The sequence below is a fragment of the Homo sapiens genome, chromosome 6 (genome assembly GCF_000001405.40).
Source record: "Homo sapiens chromosome 6, GRCh38.p14 Primary Assembly".
Classification (NCBI taxonomy): Eukaryota; Metazoa; Chordata; class Mammalia; order Primates; family Hominidae; genus Homo; species Homo sapiens.
In genome coordinates, this window is record NC_000006.12 from 104,476,532 (window position 1) to 104,497,852 (window position 21,321).

At 38.9% G+C, this 21,321-nt stretch overlaps 1 long non-coding RNA gene across 2 annotated transcripts in view, besides 1 other annotated feature; it reads right to left on the reverse strand.

Moving 5' to 3' along the window:
• Positions 1-21,321, reverse strand: part of LOC105377918 (uncharacterized) — a 64,633-nt gene that overhangs the window by 13,692 nt on the left and 29,620 nt on the right. The window lies entirely within an intron of this gene.
• Positions 13,111-13,717: an enhancer, noted in NCBI's record as "H3K27ac-H3K4me1 hESC enhancer chr6:104937517-104938123 (GRCh37/hg19 assembly coordinates)". NCBI's record gives its function as "activates a minimal SCP1, AML or CMV promoter by ChIP-STARR-seq in primed H9 embryonic stem cells {active_cell/tissue: H9 hESC(primed)}" and the evidence as "EXISTENCE:reporter gene assay evidence [ECO:0000049][PMID:30033119]".

The following is a 21,321-nucleotide window of genomic DNA, read 5'->3' on the forward strand; positions in this document are numbered from 1 at the left end:
CTGGGCTCAAGTGATCCTCCCACCTTAGCCTCCCAAAGCGCTGGGATTATAGCCATGAGCCACTGCACCCTGCCCATAGGCAGACTTCTAAGGACACTACAACACCTAATCTAAGTAGAAGGTCTTTACTTTAAACCCCTACTGTATTCTTGACTTCTCATCACCAAAAATGCCTCAGCATTCTCACAGTCATTGCTTAAATGTTGTCTTTACCTCTCCAGCCACAGACCATCAGTTTATTTCCCCTGCTCCTTAGTCTTTACAAGTCCTCCTGTCTGTACTTCCATCCTTCATTTTAGATCATAAGGTTGATTCATTAAATTATTCCTTTGCCCTCCCTTGCACTTCCCCCAAATCCCTGCCTCTCCCTTCACCATCACACTCACCTAAGAAAAATTCATTTTAATCTGAATGAACCTGACCTTGTCTGTCTTGTCCATACCTTTACCTGTGTAGCTAAATGATGCTAGAGGAAACAGTAAAGCTGGACATGTTCGCATCACTATAAATTCATGATGACCGAAGTGAATGACCAATGCTGCCAAGCAAGTCAGCTTGCTGTGTCTCTTGACACTCCAAATCCCCTCCTAGTCTTGGGAACTTCAAATGCGCAGGTCTCTGACTCAAACTTGCCTACCATTCACAACTGCTTTTCACCCTTCAAGTCAGTTTAGACGTCACCACCTGAGATGTTTCACTGCTTGCATCTCCCCATTCAGTTAAAGTTTTTTCAGCAGCTGTTTATTTCTCTCACAGTTCTTAATCACAATTAGTAATTACCTATTTATTTATGTATTATTTACTTATCATTTGTCTTCCACTCTAGACTGTAAGCTCCATGAAGATCTAGGACTATTATTTGCTAAACATTTATATCATGCATAGTAACTGGGACTAAGAAGTATTCAGTAAATAGTTGTTGAATGAATGAATGAACAAACTTATGTACCATCTGTATCCATATGAACAGGAGTGGTCACATCTACATTATCTTCAAAACTCTTCGACCCTCTTTCTTTCCCTTTGTTTCTTTGCTCAATCAGTATTATTTTAAACAGATTTCTAATGGAAATGCTGATACAGACTTTACTTCAGCAGTATAAATGGCATCAGTCGCTGACATGACCCCCTGCTGTTGCCATTGGCAACAATTAAATTAGCTATATAAAACCTGACACAAGAGCTGCAGCATCCATTCAGTGAAATAACCAGGCAGTCTTTCAGCAAACACAATAATGACCCGTGTGGCTGTGCTTTTAGTACAGGAGCAAGTGCTGAGCATTGTCTTGCCCAAGACAAGGCATTAACACAGTTCCTGACTCCTGTTTCCATTGTTGCTTAAAAGGGTTGCCTAATTAATTGATTTTATTGAATCTCAACCAAGGCACATTTGTTCCTTGGTAAACCAATGAAAAAAGCTGAGGAGCTGAAGAGCTACTCCTGTAAAATATAAGAAAGGAGTTGTGGAGGTCCTGTTTTATGCTACATATTATTGTAAGTAAAAGTATAGTTCACATGGTTATTGACTGCTTAATGCCAAGAGATAGACATGAGCACATTTGTTGATCTCTGTGCTCAGAGAAAGGCATTTTACTGGATCCAGCAGAATAGTCTCACTCCCTTACTCTCCATATGCACTCACTCTCTCCTGAACACCCTGGCAGTGTGTGCTTTGTAAAAGCAAAGAGCCAGTATAAGAGGTGAACTTCTAGAAAAGTAGAATAAAGCAACTAGCATCCGTATAATCCTCCACAGCTACCAAAATCTGCCTGGTACCTTTCCTCATCTGATGCTCACAAATATCCTTATATGCATATTATGATGCTCATTTTGCAAATAAGGAAATTGAGACTCAGGGATGTGATGACTGCCTTAGTCCATTCAGGCTGCTATATAAAATACTTTATATCTGGTGACTTACAAACGATAGAAATTTATTTCTCATGGTTCTGGAGGCTAGAAAGTCCAAGATCAAGGCAGTAGCCGAGGACAGACCCACTGTCTGTTTCAGAGATGGACATCTTGCTGTGTCCTGCATGGCAGAATGGCCAAGAGGTCACTCCACGGCTCTTTTTATAAGGGCACCAACCACTTCCCAAATGTCCCACTTCCTCATACCATCACAAGGGGATTTGGTTTTAACATATACGTGTGGGGACATCACAAACATTCAGACCATAACAATGATTCACCTGATTTTACAAAGCCCAAGTCAAGACCCTCTGAGTCTAAAATCTGTAATATGGTTAAGTAACCCAGGCAAGGAAATAAAACAGTTTAAATTAAATCAATAGATATAAAAATGGGAATAAAAATGAAAGAACAGATGACAGGCATTTACAGAATTGTAGGAATTATGACTGATATGAGGTAGAGTGAAGGATAAATGGTTCCTGACCCAGCTACATAGATGGACTGCAACGTCATTCCCCAGAATCAAAAGGAGGGAAGAGCATGTTTAGCAAGTGAGGAGTAGAGAGGAGGGGGAGAGACAACATGATACATTTAGTTTGGAATCCTGTGATCACAGGATGCCTGTAGTATGTGGCAAATGCAAAGTTAGATAGAGAAATCTGGCTCAGAAGAAAGTTTTCAAAACAGTAAACTGCTGGCAAACAGTGAAGTAAGGCTGGGCACTGTGGCTCACACCTGCAATCCCAGCACTTTGGGCGGCTGAGGCAGAGGATGAGTTGAGACCAGGAGTTTGAGACCATCCTGGGTAAGCTTGAGTTTGAGACACAGCAAAGCTCCATCTCCACGAAAAAGAAAAATGATAATTATCCAGATGTGGTGGTACTTGACTGTAGTCCTAGAAAGAAATGTAGTATGATAGCTTGTTTTTTACCTTTTTATTCCAAAATAATTTGAGACTTCCAAGAAAGCTGTAAAAAAAAATAGCACAACGTATTCCCATAAATCCTCCACAGATTCTCCAAATCTCAACATTTTATATTTGCCATATTCTGTGTGTATTAAATTTTCTGAAATACTTGAGAGTAAGTTGCAGATATGATGCACCTTTAACCCTAAATAGTCTAAGTATTCAATATGTGTGTTTTAGTAAACACATTTCCTCATTACTTGACCACAATAAAATTACCAAAATTAGGACATTAACATTAATACAAAATTATAATCTAAGCTACAGATCTCGTGCAAATCTTTTCCAACTGTCCTACTAATAAGATTTGGCATTTTTTTTTAAAATACTGGTCCAGACTCCAACCCAGAACCCAGAATCACAAAGAACTTTCTGTTAGTTGTCATATCTCTTTTTTCTCCTATAATCTAACAATCCCACATTCTTTCTCTTTTGTGATTTCATGGTCTTGACATTTTTGAAGACTGGAGGCCATTTATTGTTGTAGATTTTTACCTTAACTTAGGTTTTTCTGAGGTTTCCTCATGATTAGATTCAGGTTATGCATTTTTGGCAGAAATACCACAAAAGTGAGGTGTGTCCTTTTCATTGCATCATATTTGGAAGGGTAGACATCTATTTGTCCCATTGCTGGTAATATTAACTGTGATCATTAGTCAAGGTGGCATCTGCTGGTTTTCTTTTCTAGTTACTCATTTCCCCTTTGTATCTTGTGGGGAAATTCTTTGAGAATATGTGAATTTACTGTTATTCCTAAAAACATTATCCCAAATTGTGATTTTTCTAATTCAATTTTGCCACCTATTAGTTGGTATATAAGAAATACCTTTTTCTCCACTATTTCTCTATTTTTAATGTGTTTACTTACATCAGTTTGGACTCGTGGATTATTATTTAATTATGCTGGTTTTTTTATTTATTTAGAGTCTCAAATTAACTCAGATTTGCCCAGTGGGAGCCAAGAGAAAGAAATGTTTTGTAAGGGATCCAGTAAAGAGGAAGAATTGATAAGAGAGGTGGGAGAGAATACTACTGATGGACAGAGGTGCATAAGAGGCAAAAGGGAATGGTATGCAGAGCACAGGTCAAAGAACAATTTCATGTAAGAGTAGAGACAATTCATCCACTGAACTAGCAGAAAAAAAGCAAAGAAGAAATAGATGGGGTCGGGAGCACTCAAGAAGTTCAGAAACTTGTGATAACTTCTAGATCCTCTAGGACGTGGGAAGTGAAATGGTTTGCTAGGTAAAGAGGCTTTAGGAGAACATGAGACCAAATGAGAGTAGTCACAGTGCATGTGACAGTGTCATGGGGATTGGAGAGGCAGATGACAAGCAACATGGAAGGAAATCGCTGGTCTTTGCAGAGGTCTTCCTGTCCCCATTCTGTAAAGTTGTCCAGATCTATTAGATCTGTTTACTGCACCTCTGTCTCCCACCACCATCTTGTTCAACAGCAAGTTGTTAAAACAATTGCATTGATACACAGTTGGAATATTTTAGGTGAGTGAAATAAAAGTATGAAAGGGATAAGTAAGAGGGTAAAGTTTTAAAAATAATGTAATTTAAGCTATGGATCATGTAATTTTCTCAGGCTAGAGAAGAAAATAAAAACAATAGAGGCCAATGACAAAGAAAAATTGAAGAATCAAGGTCCTGGGAGTTTAATGAGGTTTGAAAAGAGACAGAGAGAAGGAACAGAAGTCAGATGGTTTAATGGAAGTTTAGGTTCAAAGAAGAAGATACTAAAGTTGAAGACAGAGGTGCAGCATTTCTAGGCAATGACAATGTCCTCTCGTTTAGTACATGGCATGTCAAGTCTCTCGCTCTTGGTCTAACAAGAAAAGAAGATGTAACACCTCATTGACTCAGATATATCACCTGTTAAACTTCCATCATCCAGAACACAGCCAGCATCAAGAAGGTGAGCAAAAAATGCCTATGAGCAGCAGTGAAAATAGGTGAGAACGTATGCACCAAACTCATGCTGTTTACCTGAATGCTCTTGAAGGAGTAAAACAGAAAAGGTGTTTGGTGCTTTAAAGGAGATAAATTTCAGTTATTTGCAATAGTCACTTCTAGGGAACACTGTGAATCTCCGTGAGACCAAATTCACAGATCTACAGAAAAACAGACTTCAAGATAATGTTATTGGACATTTCTATCATATGGGCACTGAACCAGGTCCTAATATGTTTTATTTCTTGTAATTCTTACAACAGCACCATGGGATCGGTGCTATTGTTTTCCCAATTTAACAGGTGAGAAACTGAAGATTTAAAGGGGTTAGTTTGCTTGAAAATGGTATAGTCTGGATTCAAATCAATTTCCCTAATTCTTGAAGCCATTTCTTTAACTTCCAAGATAAAGAAGCTCTTGTGCATTTCTCTGTTAATGTTTTTTACCCCAAACATATTAATAAGGTTGGTATATACAAATTCAGCCTAAATAGTCACTCAGTAGTAACTGTATGTGCAAAATGACAAAAAAAAAACCTGACATTTTTTTAAGTTGCAAACTTTCTATTTTATATTTCTTCAGGAAAACTGCATTAATAAATGATATATCATAATCATTGGTGATATTAAAAAGGTATTAGATCAACAGGGCTGTTTCCTTGGCAAGATAAGATTAATTCCTTGATGTATTGATTCAATAGTCGATCTCAGCCAAAGATGCAGAATTAAAAAGAGTGTAGAAATGATTGTTTTGTTTCGTTTTGTTTTGTTTGAGACAGAGTCTCACTCTGTCGCCCAGGCTGGAGTGCAGTGATGTGATCCTGGCTCACTGCAACATCCACCTCCCAGATTCAAGTGATTCTCATGCCTCAGCCTCCCAAATAGCTGGGACTACAGGCACACGCCACCATGCCCAGCTACTTTTGGTATTTTTAGTAGAGATGAGCTTTCGCCATGTTGGTCAGGCTGGTCTCAAATTCCTGACCTCAGGTGATCCACCCACCTCAGCCTCCCAAAGTGCTGGGATTACAAGCATGAGCCACTACACCCAGCCTGAGAGGATCTTTACTGTCTCTTTTGGAAAACAGCATACCCAGACTTTTATAAAAAATGAAATGGAAAGAAAATCACAATTCATTATAGTCTAATTTTTTATATTCCTTTATATTAATTAAAAGATTAAGAACTATGAATGATCTGGGTTCAAAGAGACAGCTATTTGTCATTGTTAATGGTATATCAACGTTCTATTTACCAGAATAGCATTTACATCCTTTTCTCCTTCACAAAACTAGAAAGTCCTATAAGATGCAGAGCCACAGAAACTCCTGTGCAGAAACTAGGTGTTATTCAGTATCTTCCCCAAAGTTCTTCTAGTTCACCTCATTTTTATATTGCCACATTTCTAATAATTTAGTCCTGGCTTTTGCAATGAACAGTCTAAATTTGTCAAGCTATAGCATAGAGTAGTTTTCAACTATGGAGAAACATCAATGAACCAAGAAAACTCATTTCATGTGTATTCCAAGTGTCACCACGGAATACTAGATGGGTTACTGGATTGTTAGCTTAGAGAGAGAGAGAGAGAATGGGTGTCACACTGCCAAAATCCAAAATTCCTTTTGCAGAAGCTGCTTGATGTGGTAAAAACCTCAGCTAAAATAAAAGTTCCATTCCCTAATACTAAAACAATCTCTCATTTCAGTAATGTCAGTAATTAATAATCAAATGAACTGTTGGGGACCGTTTGAGTATAGCAAAAAGAAAGGTGATTGTCTCCAATTCAAACTGGTTATTTTGGTATTAAGTGCACATGACCATCAGTAATACATAGGATTTTATATTTGATTTTCATTTAAAAGGCATTTCAGAGATGTTGGGGAGGGGCACATGTGCAGATGTTATACATATTTTAATAGATGATCATGGTACTATTTAAGACTAATTTTCTAAGCCTCAGATTTAATCTTACCATTTTTAAGGAAATTATAATGACCGATGAAATCTCAAAACCATAAAGCAATTTACTGGTTTGTCTATAGGAAGCTGTCTTAGAGCAACACCTAGTGGTTCCTTTGACCCTTCAGATAAACATTTAGGATTAGGAAGGAGCAGTTTTAAAAAGTCTTCCTTTTAAGAAATTTTAAATAAGACACAGATTGTTAGGATAATGTGTGCTCTCTGCTTTCTCATGCTTCTTTAAAGTTGTGTTTAATTTCCATTTTGTACAAGTTTCACCAAAACACTCATCTCTATTAATTTAGTGATTCTATTATGAGGTTAAAAAGGGTCGATGGCCAAAGAAGGTTGGTTATTTTGCATGAAGACATTATTCTATAACCAAAAATGATTCCATGAAAAGCTAGTGGTAAAGAGAGTCTAACTATAAATCTTAAATAACATATGTAACTACAACAGAAAGATTAAGTTTTTTTAATTCAATAGAAACCACAAGTTTAATTTGAATCAAAATACTATTATATGAAGGTCTTTCTTTGAAAATTACTGGGCTTGTTTTATATACTTTGCAGGAAGATTCGAGAAGAAATCTCACAATGATGTGAAAATGTCTTACTCCTCAGAATGTGGTGGTGGGTTTTAAATTCTTTTTTGTCAGGTATTATATTGAAATTTCTTCACCTCTTCCAATAAAGTAATCATAAGTGGGGAAATTCTACTCTAGTCATTTGCGGTGTCTGCGGAGGTCTGCAAGATCACAATCTTCAAATCGATTCGAGAAATGTTGACATTTATACCATTCCCTGGTCGTGTTATAATCATTGTCACCAGCACAAATTCGTGAGGTTTTTATTTTATGTTCCTGTCAAAATCTGTCACAAAAAATGAGACTGAAAATGTTTAATGTTTTATTTGCTCTCTGAGAGATGATAATAACCCCAGCTTCTCTGACCTCCTTGGTGTTTCAAAATTTAGTGGCTGGTTAGTTTTCACTCCTTTTGCAGCCTCGGCAGCCTCTAAAGAAGCCAAATCATCAACCAATCAAAATGCAGAGGACAAAAATGGTTCAGAGCCTTCTCTCCTGCTTGGTACCTGTGTGACATTTCTGTTCTCTCCACAGGCAGGAGGGTTGTTAGGCACATTTAAACCTTTCCTAATGACACCTTTACTATAATGGAGAGCAAGCAACAATAGCACCTCTATCAAACACATCAAAATGTTCAATGGGCTTCATAATCAAAATATCTGATGTTAAAACCAGCAAACGCAGTTTCAAATTGTATGTATGTCACTAAATTCACTACAGTGCCTTACAATGTGTGGCCCAGACAAAGATATCTTCTGTCTCCCTTCCTTTCTCACATAATTGTTTTGTTAAATTATTGCTTACTGAAAATGTTATTGTTCCTTGCTGATGTCCCTTCCTGGCAGGGTTGGCAGAACCAAGGAGGCTGTGCCACTCCCTGCCGTGCTCACAGACGAATGAGATGGCTGACAGGACAGCAATGGGCCTCAAAGGCTGGACCAGAGCCCCAGTCACCCTGTTCCCAGGACCCTGCAGGCACAGATGCTCACCTGAGACCACACCAGTCCCTTTCAATGACTTCACTGAGACACCATGATGACAAAGTAATGCTGCTTCCCATTGTGAAACCTGCAACCTGGAGCAGGCATCGTGGGGGTGCTGGAGCCCTGCCCAGGACTCTATTTATTCTGATTAAATAGGTTTTGCAAAATGGAAAATAAATAAATAAAATGTCAATGCCAGATTCATGGATTTAGCATTTGGACAGATAGGGTAACTGTGTGGACTACTACACAGCAGCTTTATTTTCATGTCGGCTGCTGGAAGGCCCTAACGTCATTGTTAAGGAATCTTTATTGGAAAATGTTATGCCTACCAACATTACCCTGTTCTCTTTAAATACCGAAAAGAGTTTCTTTACCATTCTTCCACCCAGGACTGAATGCCAAACCCCTTCGCTGCCTATCTCATTACAGATTCAGTGGCATCCTTTTAACACTGCCATAGGTCAATTTTCAGGCTAAAAACAGGTGAGTCTATTCTGCGTAGTCCATCAAAAAGTCAACTGAAAACAGTTTCAGGAAGCATAAGAAAAAATTCAATTTTTTCCACTAATTCTTTTGTTATGTACAATAAACTGTTATTTTGACTACATAAAGACAAAAATCAAGACTTTTTTCACAGGTGATTACACTACCAGTGTCATTGATCCTGCTGCTGCCTGTTTACCTCTCCAAGGTGCATTCATTTGCTCTTATTCCAATATATTTTTGGATAAAATTACTGTGACTCAGATATGAAACCATTTTTATTGTAATGTAAATCTAAAGGATAAGCAATGTGAGTTTTCATCCTATTTGCCATAGCCTAGAAATAGACATTTTACCCTAGCATTTTCTTTTATACATAACTCGGCATAGGATACGTAAGTTTAAAAAATAAGATATAAATACAACTGCAATGTCAATTTCCTTATTCTACATGAACTGCTTAAAATCAGTGTCCATACTTGGTTATACTACAAGATGATGCTCTAAGATTAATTCCTTATACTCTGGAACACACGTATATATTGAGAGAATGAAGCCTGTTTAAAAGCTTCAAATGAGTTTAGTGTTCTGCATTTAGAGAAGCCCTAGTAAAATAGCCAAAAGAAACAGCAACTGGTCCTAAAACACATCTATTGAATTCATACTCTCCAGGCAATGCTTTCTAAAATGTAAAATTTCATCAGTTCTGAATTGAAAAGATTGATCTGCTTGTCATGTTGAATAGACTCTAAAAGTAGTTTAAGCAACAATTGACCCTGAGCACAGTACTAGCGGATTCTTCTGGGCATTGGGCTGAAGACAGCTCCAGATTTCTAAGATAACTGAAATTGTCTGTGTTGTGAAAAACAGCAGAGCAGCTCACAGCAGGCTGGAATGCTCAAGAGGATTTTCATAATTACGGCTAAGAAAAATGAGATTTACTGGAAGCTGCATTTGTATCAGTACGGCTATGTCTTTCCTCACAACTCCTTATGCTTAAAAAAATCAATTCCATCCACTTTTCATAATTCCATTTGCTTTTTTTGTCTATCAGCCACTAAATTTAAGCTACATTACAGAAGGCAACTGTGAATCTTTTTTATTAGTGATTAATCTATTTCTACTACCGACTTGCAATTTCTGTCAGATATTTCAAGTTCCACTCACCAAAAAGTCATAGGCATGTGCTAGAATCCACATGCTTAGCCACTGATGAAATGTGGAGGTGAGATTCAAAGAACAACAGGTATAACAACAATGAGCAAAAGTGCATCCTCTAAATGAAGAGGAGTGCTCCACAGAACTATTCAAGAGATGTGCACTGAATACAAAATGCACTGCATATGCCAAAATGTGTGTCCATAAATGTTATGTTAAGAACATAAACCACACAAGGCTGGGCACAGTGGTTCACGCCTGTAATCCCAGCACTTTGGGAGGCCGAGGCGGGCGGATCACGAGGTCAGGAGATCAAGACCATCCTGGCTAACACGGTGAAACCCCACCTCTACTAAAAATACAAAAAAAAAAAAAAAAATAGCCAGGCGTGGTGGCGGGCGCCTGTAGTCCCAGCTACTCGGGAGGCCAAGGCAGGAGAATGGCGTGAACCCGGGAGGCGGAGCTTGCAGTGAGCCGAGATCGCGCCACTGCACTCCAGCTTGGGTGACAGAGCGAGACTCGGTCTCAAAAAAAAAAGAACTTAAACCACACACTTACATTCCTTTATATTAATAACCTTACATTCCTCTTTTCTGGCCTAGGACCAGTTTCCTCATTCTGTTATCTCAGCTTCTTACGAAGGGATTTACTTTTTCTCTGTGTGAGCTTCTTGGAGCAGCAGAAGTGATGCAGCCATTCTGTAGCTCACACAAACTGTTGCTGAGCTCATGGCTCACTGTCATGGTATTGAGCAGCATCTGGGCCCAAACTCGATCCACCTGCCCTGAATCCTCCTTCAGCGCCTCTGACTCCTGGGCCAGGTGTCAGGTTAACTCCACGATGAAGGGCCTGGCTTCTGCAGGACACACTCATCACTAGGGTCAGAGGCAACAAGAACAAACAGGGTTTCAGTCCATCTTTGCAGGGTTCCAGCTCATGCTTGTGGGTTCCAGCCTGCTTATGACCTTCCCTTCCTAACTGCTTGTGCCTTAGGCTTCGAGCTTCAGCATCAGATGTGGAGACAACAGTTCACAGTTCTGAAAGCTCCTTGTAACAAAAGCAAAGAAATTTAATTTACTCTTTCTCTCGTCTATATATATATATATATATATATATAAAATGTATATTAAACACATATACATACACACACATATAAAATAACTGTATATATGTTGTCTATAGACACATATAGTTTACATATACATAGTGTATGTATACATATTATATATATTAATATTCTACTTCTGTGGCTAAACCCTGAGTAATAGAGAATTTGGTTTGAGAAAAAAGTTTTTGAAAAACCTTGTGTAATTTTATGACAGGCTTAATAGAAGGATTTCTGAGGTCTCCAAGACTGACACTTACCACATTAACTGAAACTCCAGGAGGCATGGTATAGCCATGATCCAAGGACCAGAACACCGATGTTTGAAAATACATAATTTTCAAAGGAACAAGAGGCTTTGGAGAATACCCAAGCACAAAATTACAACTACAAGGACAGTGACTGCTCAGGAGTAAATAGTGGGCCCACTCTTGTGGTACTGAAGATCTTCAAGCAAGAAAAATGGCAGTTGTTCAGTCTTATCTTCTGAGCTCTTTTTGTGCCTTATATAGTAACCAGGTTAGATACAGCAAATGTTGCCATCTAGTAAAAAGTTACAGAAAACATACAGGGGGATAAATCTATATTTTCAACACACTGCTTTGTATGTGGATAATTGTATTTTTCATTTAAGCACAGCAGATTGGTTCACTTTATAAGTATCAGTTAGGAACATTAATGTGATTTCTACCAAAAGGTGATTACTTTCCATTAAGTCACAGTGATGTTTCAGATCTTACCAGCAGCACCATAGTCCTTTCTATAAAGGAGTTTAGTCCTCTTAACAGGAGTTTATAGTTTGGCAGTGACACTTCTGATGTTCTGTTTCTTAAACTCAGAAGCAATTGTTCTTCAACTGTTTTCCAATTTTTTTTCAAAAGTTAAATTTGATAACTTTTAATTTTACACAAGTTAACAGAAAAACAATTTTATTCAATATAGCTCTTCCCCAGATAAATTCTGTATAAATAATACTGTGAGAATTTTAATATTCTGATTAAACCATGCCATAAACTATACTGGGTCAGGCACGTTTTAGAGAGGAAAAAATGTCCTCCTCTCCAAATTTAATTTTCCCTTTTATGTTTGGAACACATCTTTTGGCATCATAGATAAAATTCATATGAAAGTACATCCAGCTTATTATAGGCATGCAGCTAACTGTCTTTTCAAAGATCTTTCCATCTTATTCCTTATTAGATTATTAAACTATCATAAACTGTTTTAATCATACCACTACAAAATGACTATCCTCCAATCCACAATGCTGCTGTTATTCTGATTAAAAAGGAACTATGATGAATTAAAGTTTACTTTTGGCTCTAATACACTAACAATCAATCAAGTTTGTCTTATTTTTGACCAATTTTATTAAAATGTTATACTGATATGGCTATACTGAAACTGAGTTTATATTCCACTTTCACCATTAGTAAATTTTACTGTAAATACGTCTATCTTTCTGACATTTCCGTAATTCTTTATGCTTTACCTAGATGTGTAGTTTATCCAAATTCAAACTAAACTATTGTTCAGTGTTACGTTACTTGGCATGGCATCTGTATTATTAAATTATAGCATTTTTTCTAACGTACTTATCATTTATGCTGTAAAAGTTCAGATTGTACTTTTTAAGAAAAAGAATTATTATTCAATGTCAGCCAACATTGAATTGAACATTACTTTTCATTTTACAGAAGTAAAAATGAAAACATCCACGAAAAAGAAAAAGAAAGATCATTTTCGAGAGGAGGAGCCAAGATGGCCGAATAGGAACAGCTCCGGTCTACAGCTCCCAGCGTGAGCGACGCAGAAGACGGGTGATTTCTGCATTTCCATCTGAGGTACCGGGTTCATCTCACTAGGGAGTGCCAGACAGTGGGCGCAGGCCAGTGGGTGCGCGCACCGGGCGCGAGCCGAAGCAGGGCGAGGCATTGCCTCACCTGGGAAGCGCAAGGGGTCAGGGAGTTCCCTTTCCGAGTCAAAGAAAGGGGTGACGGACGCACCTGGAAAATCGGGTCACTCCCACCCGAATATTGCGCTTTTCAGACCGGCTTAAAAAACGGCGCACCACGAGACTATATCCCACACCTGGCTCGGAGGGTCCTACGCCCACGGAGTCTCGCTGATTGCTAGCACAGCAGTCTGAGATCAAACTGCAAGGCGGCAGCGAGGCCGGGGGAGGGGCGCCCGCCATTGCCCAGGCTTGATTAGGTAAACAAAGCAGCCGGGAAGCTGGAACTGGGTGGAGACCACCACAGCTCAAGGAGGCCTGCCTGCCTCTGTAGGCTCCACCTCTGGGGGCAGGGCACAGACAAACAAAAAGACAGCAGTAACCTCTGCAGACTTAAATGTCCCTGTCTGACAGCTTTGAAGAGAGCAGTGGTTCTCCCAGCACGCAGCTGGAGATCTGAGAACGGGCAGACTGCCTCCTCAAGTGGGTCCCCGACCTCTGACCCCCGAGCAGCCTAACTGGGAGGCACCCCCCAGCAGGGGCACACTGACACCTCACACAGCAGGGTATTCCAACAGACCTGCAGCTGAGGGTGCTGTCTGTTAGAAGGAAAACTAACAAACAGAAAGGACATCCACGCCGAAAACCCATCTGTACATCACCATCATCAAAGACCAAAAGTAGATAAAACCACAAAGATGGGGAAAAAACAGAACAGAAAAACTGGAAACTCTAAAACGCAGAGTGCCTCTCCTCCTCCAAAGGAACGCAGTTCCTCACCAGCAACGGAACAAAGCTGGATGGAGAATGACTTTGACAAGCTGAGAGAAGAAGGCTTCAGACGATCAAATTACTCTGAGCTACGGGAGGACATTCAAACCAAAGGCAAAGAAGTTGAAAACTTTGAAAAAAATTTAGAAGAATGTATAACTAGAATAACCAATACAGAGAAGTGCTTAAAGGAGCTGATGGAGCTGAAAACCAAGGCTCGAGAACTACGTGAAGAATGCAGAAGCCTCAGGAGCCAATGCGATCAACTGGAAGAAAGGGTATCAGCAATGGAAGATGAAATGAATGAAATGAAGCGAGAAGGGAAGGTTAGAGAAAAAAGAATAAAAAGACATGAGCAAAGCCTCCAAGAAATATGGGACTATGTGAAAAGACCTAATCTACGTCTGATTGGTGTACCTGAAAGTGATGCGGAGAATGGAACCAAGTTGGAAAACACTCTGCAGGATATTATCCAGGAGAACTTCCCCAGTCTAGCAAGGCAGGCCAACGTTCAGATTCAGGAAATACAGAGAACGCCACAAAGATACTCCTCGAGAAGAGCAACTCCAAGACACATAATTGTCAGATTCACCAAAGTTGAAATGAAGGAAAAAATGTTAAGGGCAGCCAGAGAGAAAGGTCGGGTTACCCTCAAAGGGAAGCCCATCAGACTAACAGCGGATCTCTCGGCAGAAACCCTACAAGCCAGAAGAGAGTGGGGGCCAATATTCAACATTCTTAAAGAAAAGAATTTTCAACCCAGAATTTCATATCCAGCCAAACTAAGCTTCATAAGTGAAGGAGAAATAAAATACTTTACAGACAAGAAAATGCTGAGAGATTTTGTCACCACCAGGCCTGCCCTAAAAGAGCTCCTGAAGGAAGCGCTAAACATGGAAAGGAACAACCGGTACCAGCCGCTGCAAAATCATGCCAAAATGTAAAGACCATCGAGACTAGGAAGAAACTGCATCAACTAACGAGCAAAATCACCAGCTAACATCATAATGACAGGATCAAATTCACACATAACAATATTAACTTTAAATGTAAATGGACTAAATGCTCCAATTAAAAGACACAGACTGGCAAGTTGGATAAAGAGTCAAGACCCATCAGTGTGCTGTATTCAGGAAACCCATCTCACGTGCAGAGACACACATAGGCTCAAAATAAAAGGATGGAGGAAGATCTACCAAGCAAATGGAAAACAAAAAAAGGCAGGGGTTGCAATCCTAGTCTCTGATAAAACAGACTTTAAACCAACAAAGATCAAAAGAGACAAAGAAGGCCATTACATAATGGTAAAGGGATCAATTCAACAAGAGGAGCTAACTATCCTAAATATATATGCACCCAATACAGGAGCACCCAGATTCATAAAGCAAGTCCTGAGTGACCTACAAAGAGACTTAAACTCCCACACATTAATAATGGGAGACTTTAACACCCCACTGTCAACATTAGACAGATCAACGAGACAGAAAGTCAACAAGGATACCCAGGAATTGAACTCAGCTCTGCACCAAGCGGACCTAATAGACATCTACAGAACTCTCCACCCCAAATCAACAGAATATACATTGTTTTCAGCACCACACCACACCTATTCCAAAATTGACCACATACTTGGAAGTAAAGCTCTCCTCAGCAAATGTAAAAGAACAGAAATTATAACAAACTATCTCTCAGACCACAGTGCAATCAAACTAGAACTCAGGATTAAGAATCTCACTCAAAGCCGCTCAACTACATGGAAACTGAACAACCTGCTCCTGAATGACTACTGGGTACATAACGAAATGAAGGCAGAAATAAAGATGTTCTTTGAAACCAACGAGAACAAAGACACAACATACCAGAATCTCTGGGACGCATTCAAAGCAGTGTGTAGAGGGAAATTTATAGCACTAAATGCCCACAAGAGAAAGCAGGAAAGATCCAAAATTGACACCCTAACATCACAATTAAAAGAACTAGAAAAGCAAGAGCAAACACATTCAAAAGCTAGCAGAAGGCAAGAAATAACTAAAATCAGAGCAGAACTGAAGGAAATAGAGACACAAAAAACCCTTCAAAAAATCAATGAATCCAGGAGCTGGTTTTTTGAAAGGATCAACAAAATTGATAGAACACTAGCAAGACTAATAAAGAAAAAAAGAGAGAAGAATCAAATAGACACAATAAAAAATGATAAAGGGGATATCACCACCAATCCCACAGAAATACAAACTACCATCAGAGAATACTACAAACACCTCTACGCAAATAAACTAGAAAATCTAGAAGAAATGGATACATTCCTCGACACATACACTCTCCCAAGACTAAACCAGGAAGAAGTTGAATCTCTGAATAGACCAATAACAGGAGCTGAAATTGGGGCAATAATCAATAGTTTACCAACCAAAAAGAGTCCAGGACCAGATGGATTCACAGCCGAATTCTACCAGAGGTACAAGGAGGAACTGGTACCATTCCTTCTGAAACTATTCCAATCAATAGAAAAAGAGGGAATCCTCCCTAACTCATTTTATGAGGCCAGCATCATTCTGATACCAAAGCCGGGCAGAGACACAACCAAAAAAGAGAATTTTAGACCAATATCCTTGATGAACATTGATGCAAAAATCCTCAAAAAAATACTGGCAAACCGAATCCAGCAGCACATCAAAAAGCTTATCCACCATGATCAAGTGGGCTTCATCCCTGGGATGCAAGGCTGGTTCAATATACGCAAATCAATAAATGTAATCCAGCATATAAACAGAGCCAAAGACAAAAACCACATGATTATCTCAATAGATGCAGAAAAAGCCTTTGACAAAATTCAACAACCCTTCATGCTAAAAACTCTCAATAAATTAGGTATTGATGGGACGTATTTCAAAATAATAAGAGCTATCTATGACAAACCCACAGCCAATATCATACTGAATGGGCAAAAACTGGAAGCATTCCCTTTGAAAACTGGCACAAGACAGGGATGCCCTCTCTCACCGCTCCTATTCAACATAGTGTTGGAAGTTCTGGCCAGGGCAATCAGGCAGGAGAAGGAAATAAAGGGTATTCAATTAGGAAAAGAGGAAGTCAAATTGTCCCTGTTTGCAGATGACATGATTGTTTATCTAGAAAACCCCATCGTCTCAGCCCAAAATCTCCTTAAGCTGATAAGCAACTTCAGCAAAGTCTCAGGATACAAAATCAATGTACAAAAATCACAAGCATTCTTATACACCAACAACAGACAAACAGAGAGCCAAATCATGAGTGAACTCCCATTCACAATTGCTTCAAAGAGAATAAAATACCTAGGAATCCAACTTACAAGGGATGTGAAGGACCTCTTCAAGGAGAACTACAAACCACTGCTCAAGGAAATAAAAGAGGATACAAACAAATGGAAGAACATTCCATGCTCATGGGTAGGAAGAATCAATATTGTGAAAATGGCCATACTGCCCAAGGTAATTTACAGATTCAATGCCATCCCCATCAAGCTACCAATGACTTTCTTCACAGAATTGGAAAAAACTACTTTAAAGTTCATATGGAACCAAAAAAGAGCCCGCATCGCCAAGTCAATCCTAAGCCAAAAGAACAAAGCTGGAGGCATCACACTACCTGACTTCAAACTATACTACAAGGCTACAGTAACCAAAACAGCATGGTACTGGTACCAAAACAGAGATATAGATCAATGGAACAGAACAGAGCCCTCAGAAATAACGCCGCATACCTACAACTATCTGATCTTTGACAAACCTGAGAAAAACAAGCAATGGGGAAAGGATTCCCTATTTAATAAATGGTGCTGGGAAAACTGGCTAGCCATATGGAGAAAGCTGAAACTGGATCCCTTCCTTACACCTTATACAAAAATCAATTCAAGATGGATTAAAGACTTAAACGTTAGACCTAAAACCATAAAAACCCTAGAAGAAAACCTAGGCATTACCATTCAGGACATAGGCATGGGCAAGGACTTCATGTCCAAAACACCAAAAGCAATGGCAACAAAAGCCAAAATTGACAAATGGGATCTAATTAAACTAAAGAGCTTCTGCACAGCAAAAGAAACTACCATCAGAGTGAACAGGCAACCTACAACATGGGAGAAAATTTTCGCAACCTACTCATCTGACAAAGGGCTAATATCCAGAATCTACAATGAACTCAAACAAATTTACAAGAAAAAAACAAACAACCCCATCAAAAAGTGGGCGAAGGACATGAACAGACACTTCTCAAAAGAAGACATTTATGCAGCCAAAAAACACATGAAAAAATGCTCATCATCACTGGCCATCAGAGAAATGCAAATCAAAACCACTATGAGATATCATCTCACACCAGTTAGAATGGCAATCATTAAAAAGTCAGAAAACAACAGGTGCTGGAGAGGATGTGGAGAAATAGGAACACTTTTACACTGTTGCTGGGACTGTAAACTAGTTCAACCATTGTGGATGTCAGTGTGGCGATTCCTCAGGGATCTAGAACTAGAAATACCATTTGACCCAGCCATCCCATTACTGGGTATATACCCAAAGGACTATAAATCATGCTGCTATAAAGACACATGCACACGTATGTTTATTGTGGCATTATTCACAATAGCAAAGACTTGGAACCAACCCAAATGTCCAACAATGATAGACTGGATTAAGAAAATGTGGCACATATACACCATGGAATACTATGCAGCCATAAAAAATGATGAGTTCATGTCCTTTGTAGGGACATGGATGAAATTGGAAATCATCATTCTCAGTAAACTATCGCAAGAACAAAAAACCAAACACCGCATATTCTCACTCATAGGTGGGAATTGAACAATGAGATCACATGGACACATGAAGGGGAATATCACACTCTGGGGACTGTGGTGGGGTGGGGGGAGCAGGGAGGGATAGCATTGGGAGATATACCTAAGGCTAGATGACGAGTTAGTGGGTGCAGCACACCAGCATGGCACATGTATACATATGTAACTAACCTGCACAATGTGCACATGTACCCTAAAACTTAAAGTATAATAAAAAAAAAAAAAGAAAAAGAAAGAAGTATCAATATTTTTAAAAATAAAAAGGAAATATGAGTCATAATGTAGTCATTTTTGAGGGAAGGCACTGGTATCCAGATATCATAAAACTATGAAATATAGAAAGCATTCGTCTTCAACATTCTCAAGTTTCTTACCACCAACTTTATTTTGTATAATAGTTGGAAAATAATCGGATAGTTTAAGTTGAAGTTAGAAGAACCCAACTTTTCTATTCATGTTTTGGTACCTGTCTTGCCTAAGGGGAAACAGTATGAATCTTCCATTATTTAAAAAACGAATCTTTTTTGTGACGATGGCGACTGCCATATATTAATTGCCTCCTGGCCATGCTTAGGTAAAATTTACCTAGAAGTCCAACCAGGGGATGGAATTCTGGGAATTTACCAAGCCTGCTCCATAGAGGTGGTATGAATGAATCTTTCTCTTCAATTTGAGAGGTAGCACCTTCACTTCTTCTGGATACCACAGCCGTAGAGTCACTGTAGACCTTTTTATTAAGGTGCTCAAAGTACTTGATTAAATCAGCACACTTATTCTAAAAAAATACCAACTCTAAACAACAAAACGAAAACAATTTCAAATAATAATATCCTGCACACCAGACACTTTGAAGAATATAGTAGACTTTTTTTTTTTTTTTGCTTTCAACAAAGGCATGCTAAGTTTAAGAAAACAGGACATATATATTTTTCAACTTTGGCTCTAGTCATAATTGGAAACAAAGTACACTTTTACTTATATATTTGTTAGAAGAATGAACAAAAAGATAATTACCATAGAAGAACTGCATAGCAATATGGAAAATAAGCAATGAAGAAATTCAGAGACTGGAGACAACAAATTGGTTTGGGATAATTAAGAAAGGCTAAACAGCAATGAAGCTTGAACTGAATCTATAAATATGGTAAAACTGAGATTAGTAGAGAGGAATAAGCAGGGTTTTCTAGGAAGATGAAAAGACATAGATAAAAGTGTGGTAGTGGGGAGCCCCAAAATTTCAATGTAAAACCATCAGATTTGTTTCTTGGTAATGTAATAGATCAATGTAGATATTCCTGATTGGTATATTTTCTCCACTTCATGATTCAGGTATCTAGGGTCGTTCCATGTTGGAGTCCCGCTGTCTCCCAAGGCCTCAGAGTCTTCTCATCTAGCCAGGATACACCCACTTGTCAAGCTCCTTGGCCTGGAACAGATATCCATCACTTCCATTCACACTCCATTGGTGAGAACTGGACACATGGTCTCACCTGGATTTAAGCAGAAACTGGAAAATGTAGCCCCGAGCTAGGCTGTCACTTGGTGACAATTCCAGGCTATGAAAGAGGAGCATGCATTTTGATGAACTGCTCTCTATCTCTGCCTCACCAAGCCTGCCAGCCTGCCAAGAAAGTACAGAAGATGAAATGTCCATCTTTTTCAAAGTCACCCAATCGAGCAGAGGGGTGGTTCTTAAAGATTTTACTGAGTTATTGGAAGCTGGGGAAATTTCTAAGTTATAGAATTAAACAATCAGAGCAGCATTTTAAAAAGAGAATATGCACAGCAATATTTAGCAGGATTGCAGGTAGAATAAATGTTTCCAGACAAGACAAGAGGGCTGGCGGAGGGTATAGAAAACACTGGTAAAAATTTAAGATACATTTCTAAGAATGAAACAAATCTGGTGCATAATTAGAATGGGCTTGGGGAATGGAAAGAAGGCAGACAAAGGAGAGAGGTAAGTTAAGGAAGATTTTGAACATTCAAACTTACATGATAGTACCCCTGAGGACAATTAGGAAGTAATTTTAGAGTGAAGAAGATGAGTTTGAGAACACGTTCAGATGTCCCATAGAAGCATCTACATGGAGCTATATAGCCAGTAGTCACACAAGGCAAGACGAAGATAAGAAAGGATCATGAAAAGATGCCGCATTTCCTGATTTTCACCACTGTGAAATTTTTTCCGGACTACTATAGTATCTACAAGAGGCAAATGAACTATTCCATGACATGGCAAATCCATTCTTTTTTGCCCATCTACACAATCGATACCAATCGCCACAGCCAAATTGATCTGGCTGCAATTCACATCAATTCTTAGAAGGCTGAAAGGAATGGATTGGCTGTGCCATAGGCCAGCCATTTCACATCCTCAGACATGCCCTCTTCTGCCTCAAGAGTTGTTAGGCCAGTGGAAGAAGGGACCAAGGTTGCCACTCTATTCATTCATTCAGGCTCTAATATCACATTTAACTTCTAACCTAGAAGTTAACTTAACCACAGCTGCTTAAGTAATTTTGATGTGAAAATTAAGTATCAATTTGTTTCAATGTTGTAAAACTAATAATTTTTTAGCATCTTCTGTGTGTCCCGTCTTGGACAAAGTAAAGTTTATTAAATGGAAGATACTCTAATGGGAAACAAAGAG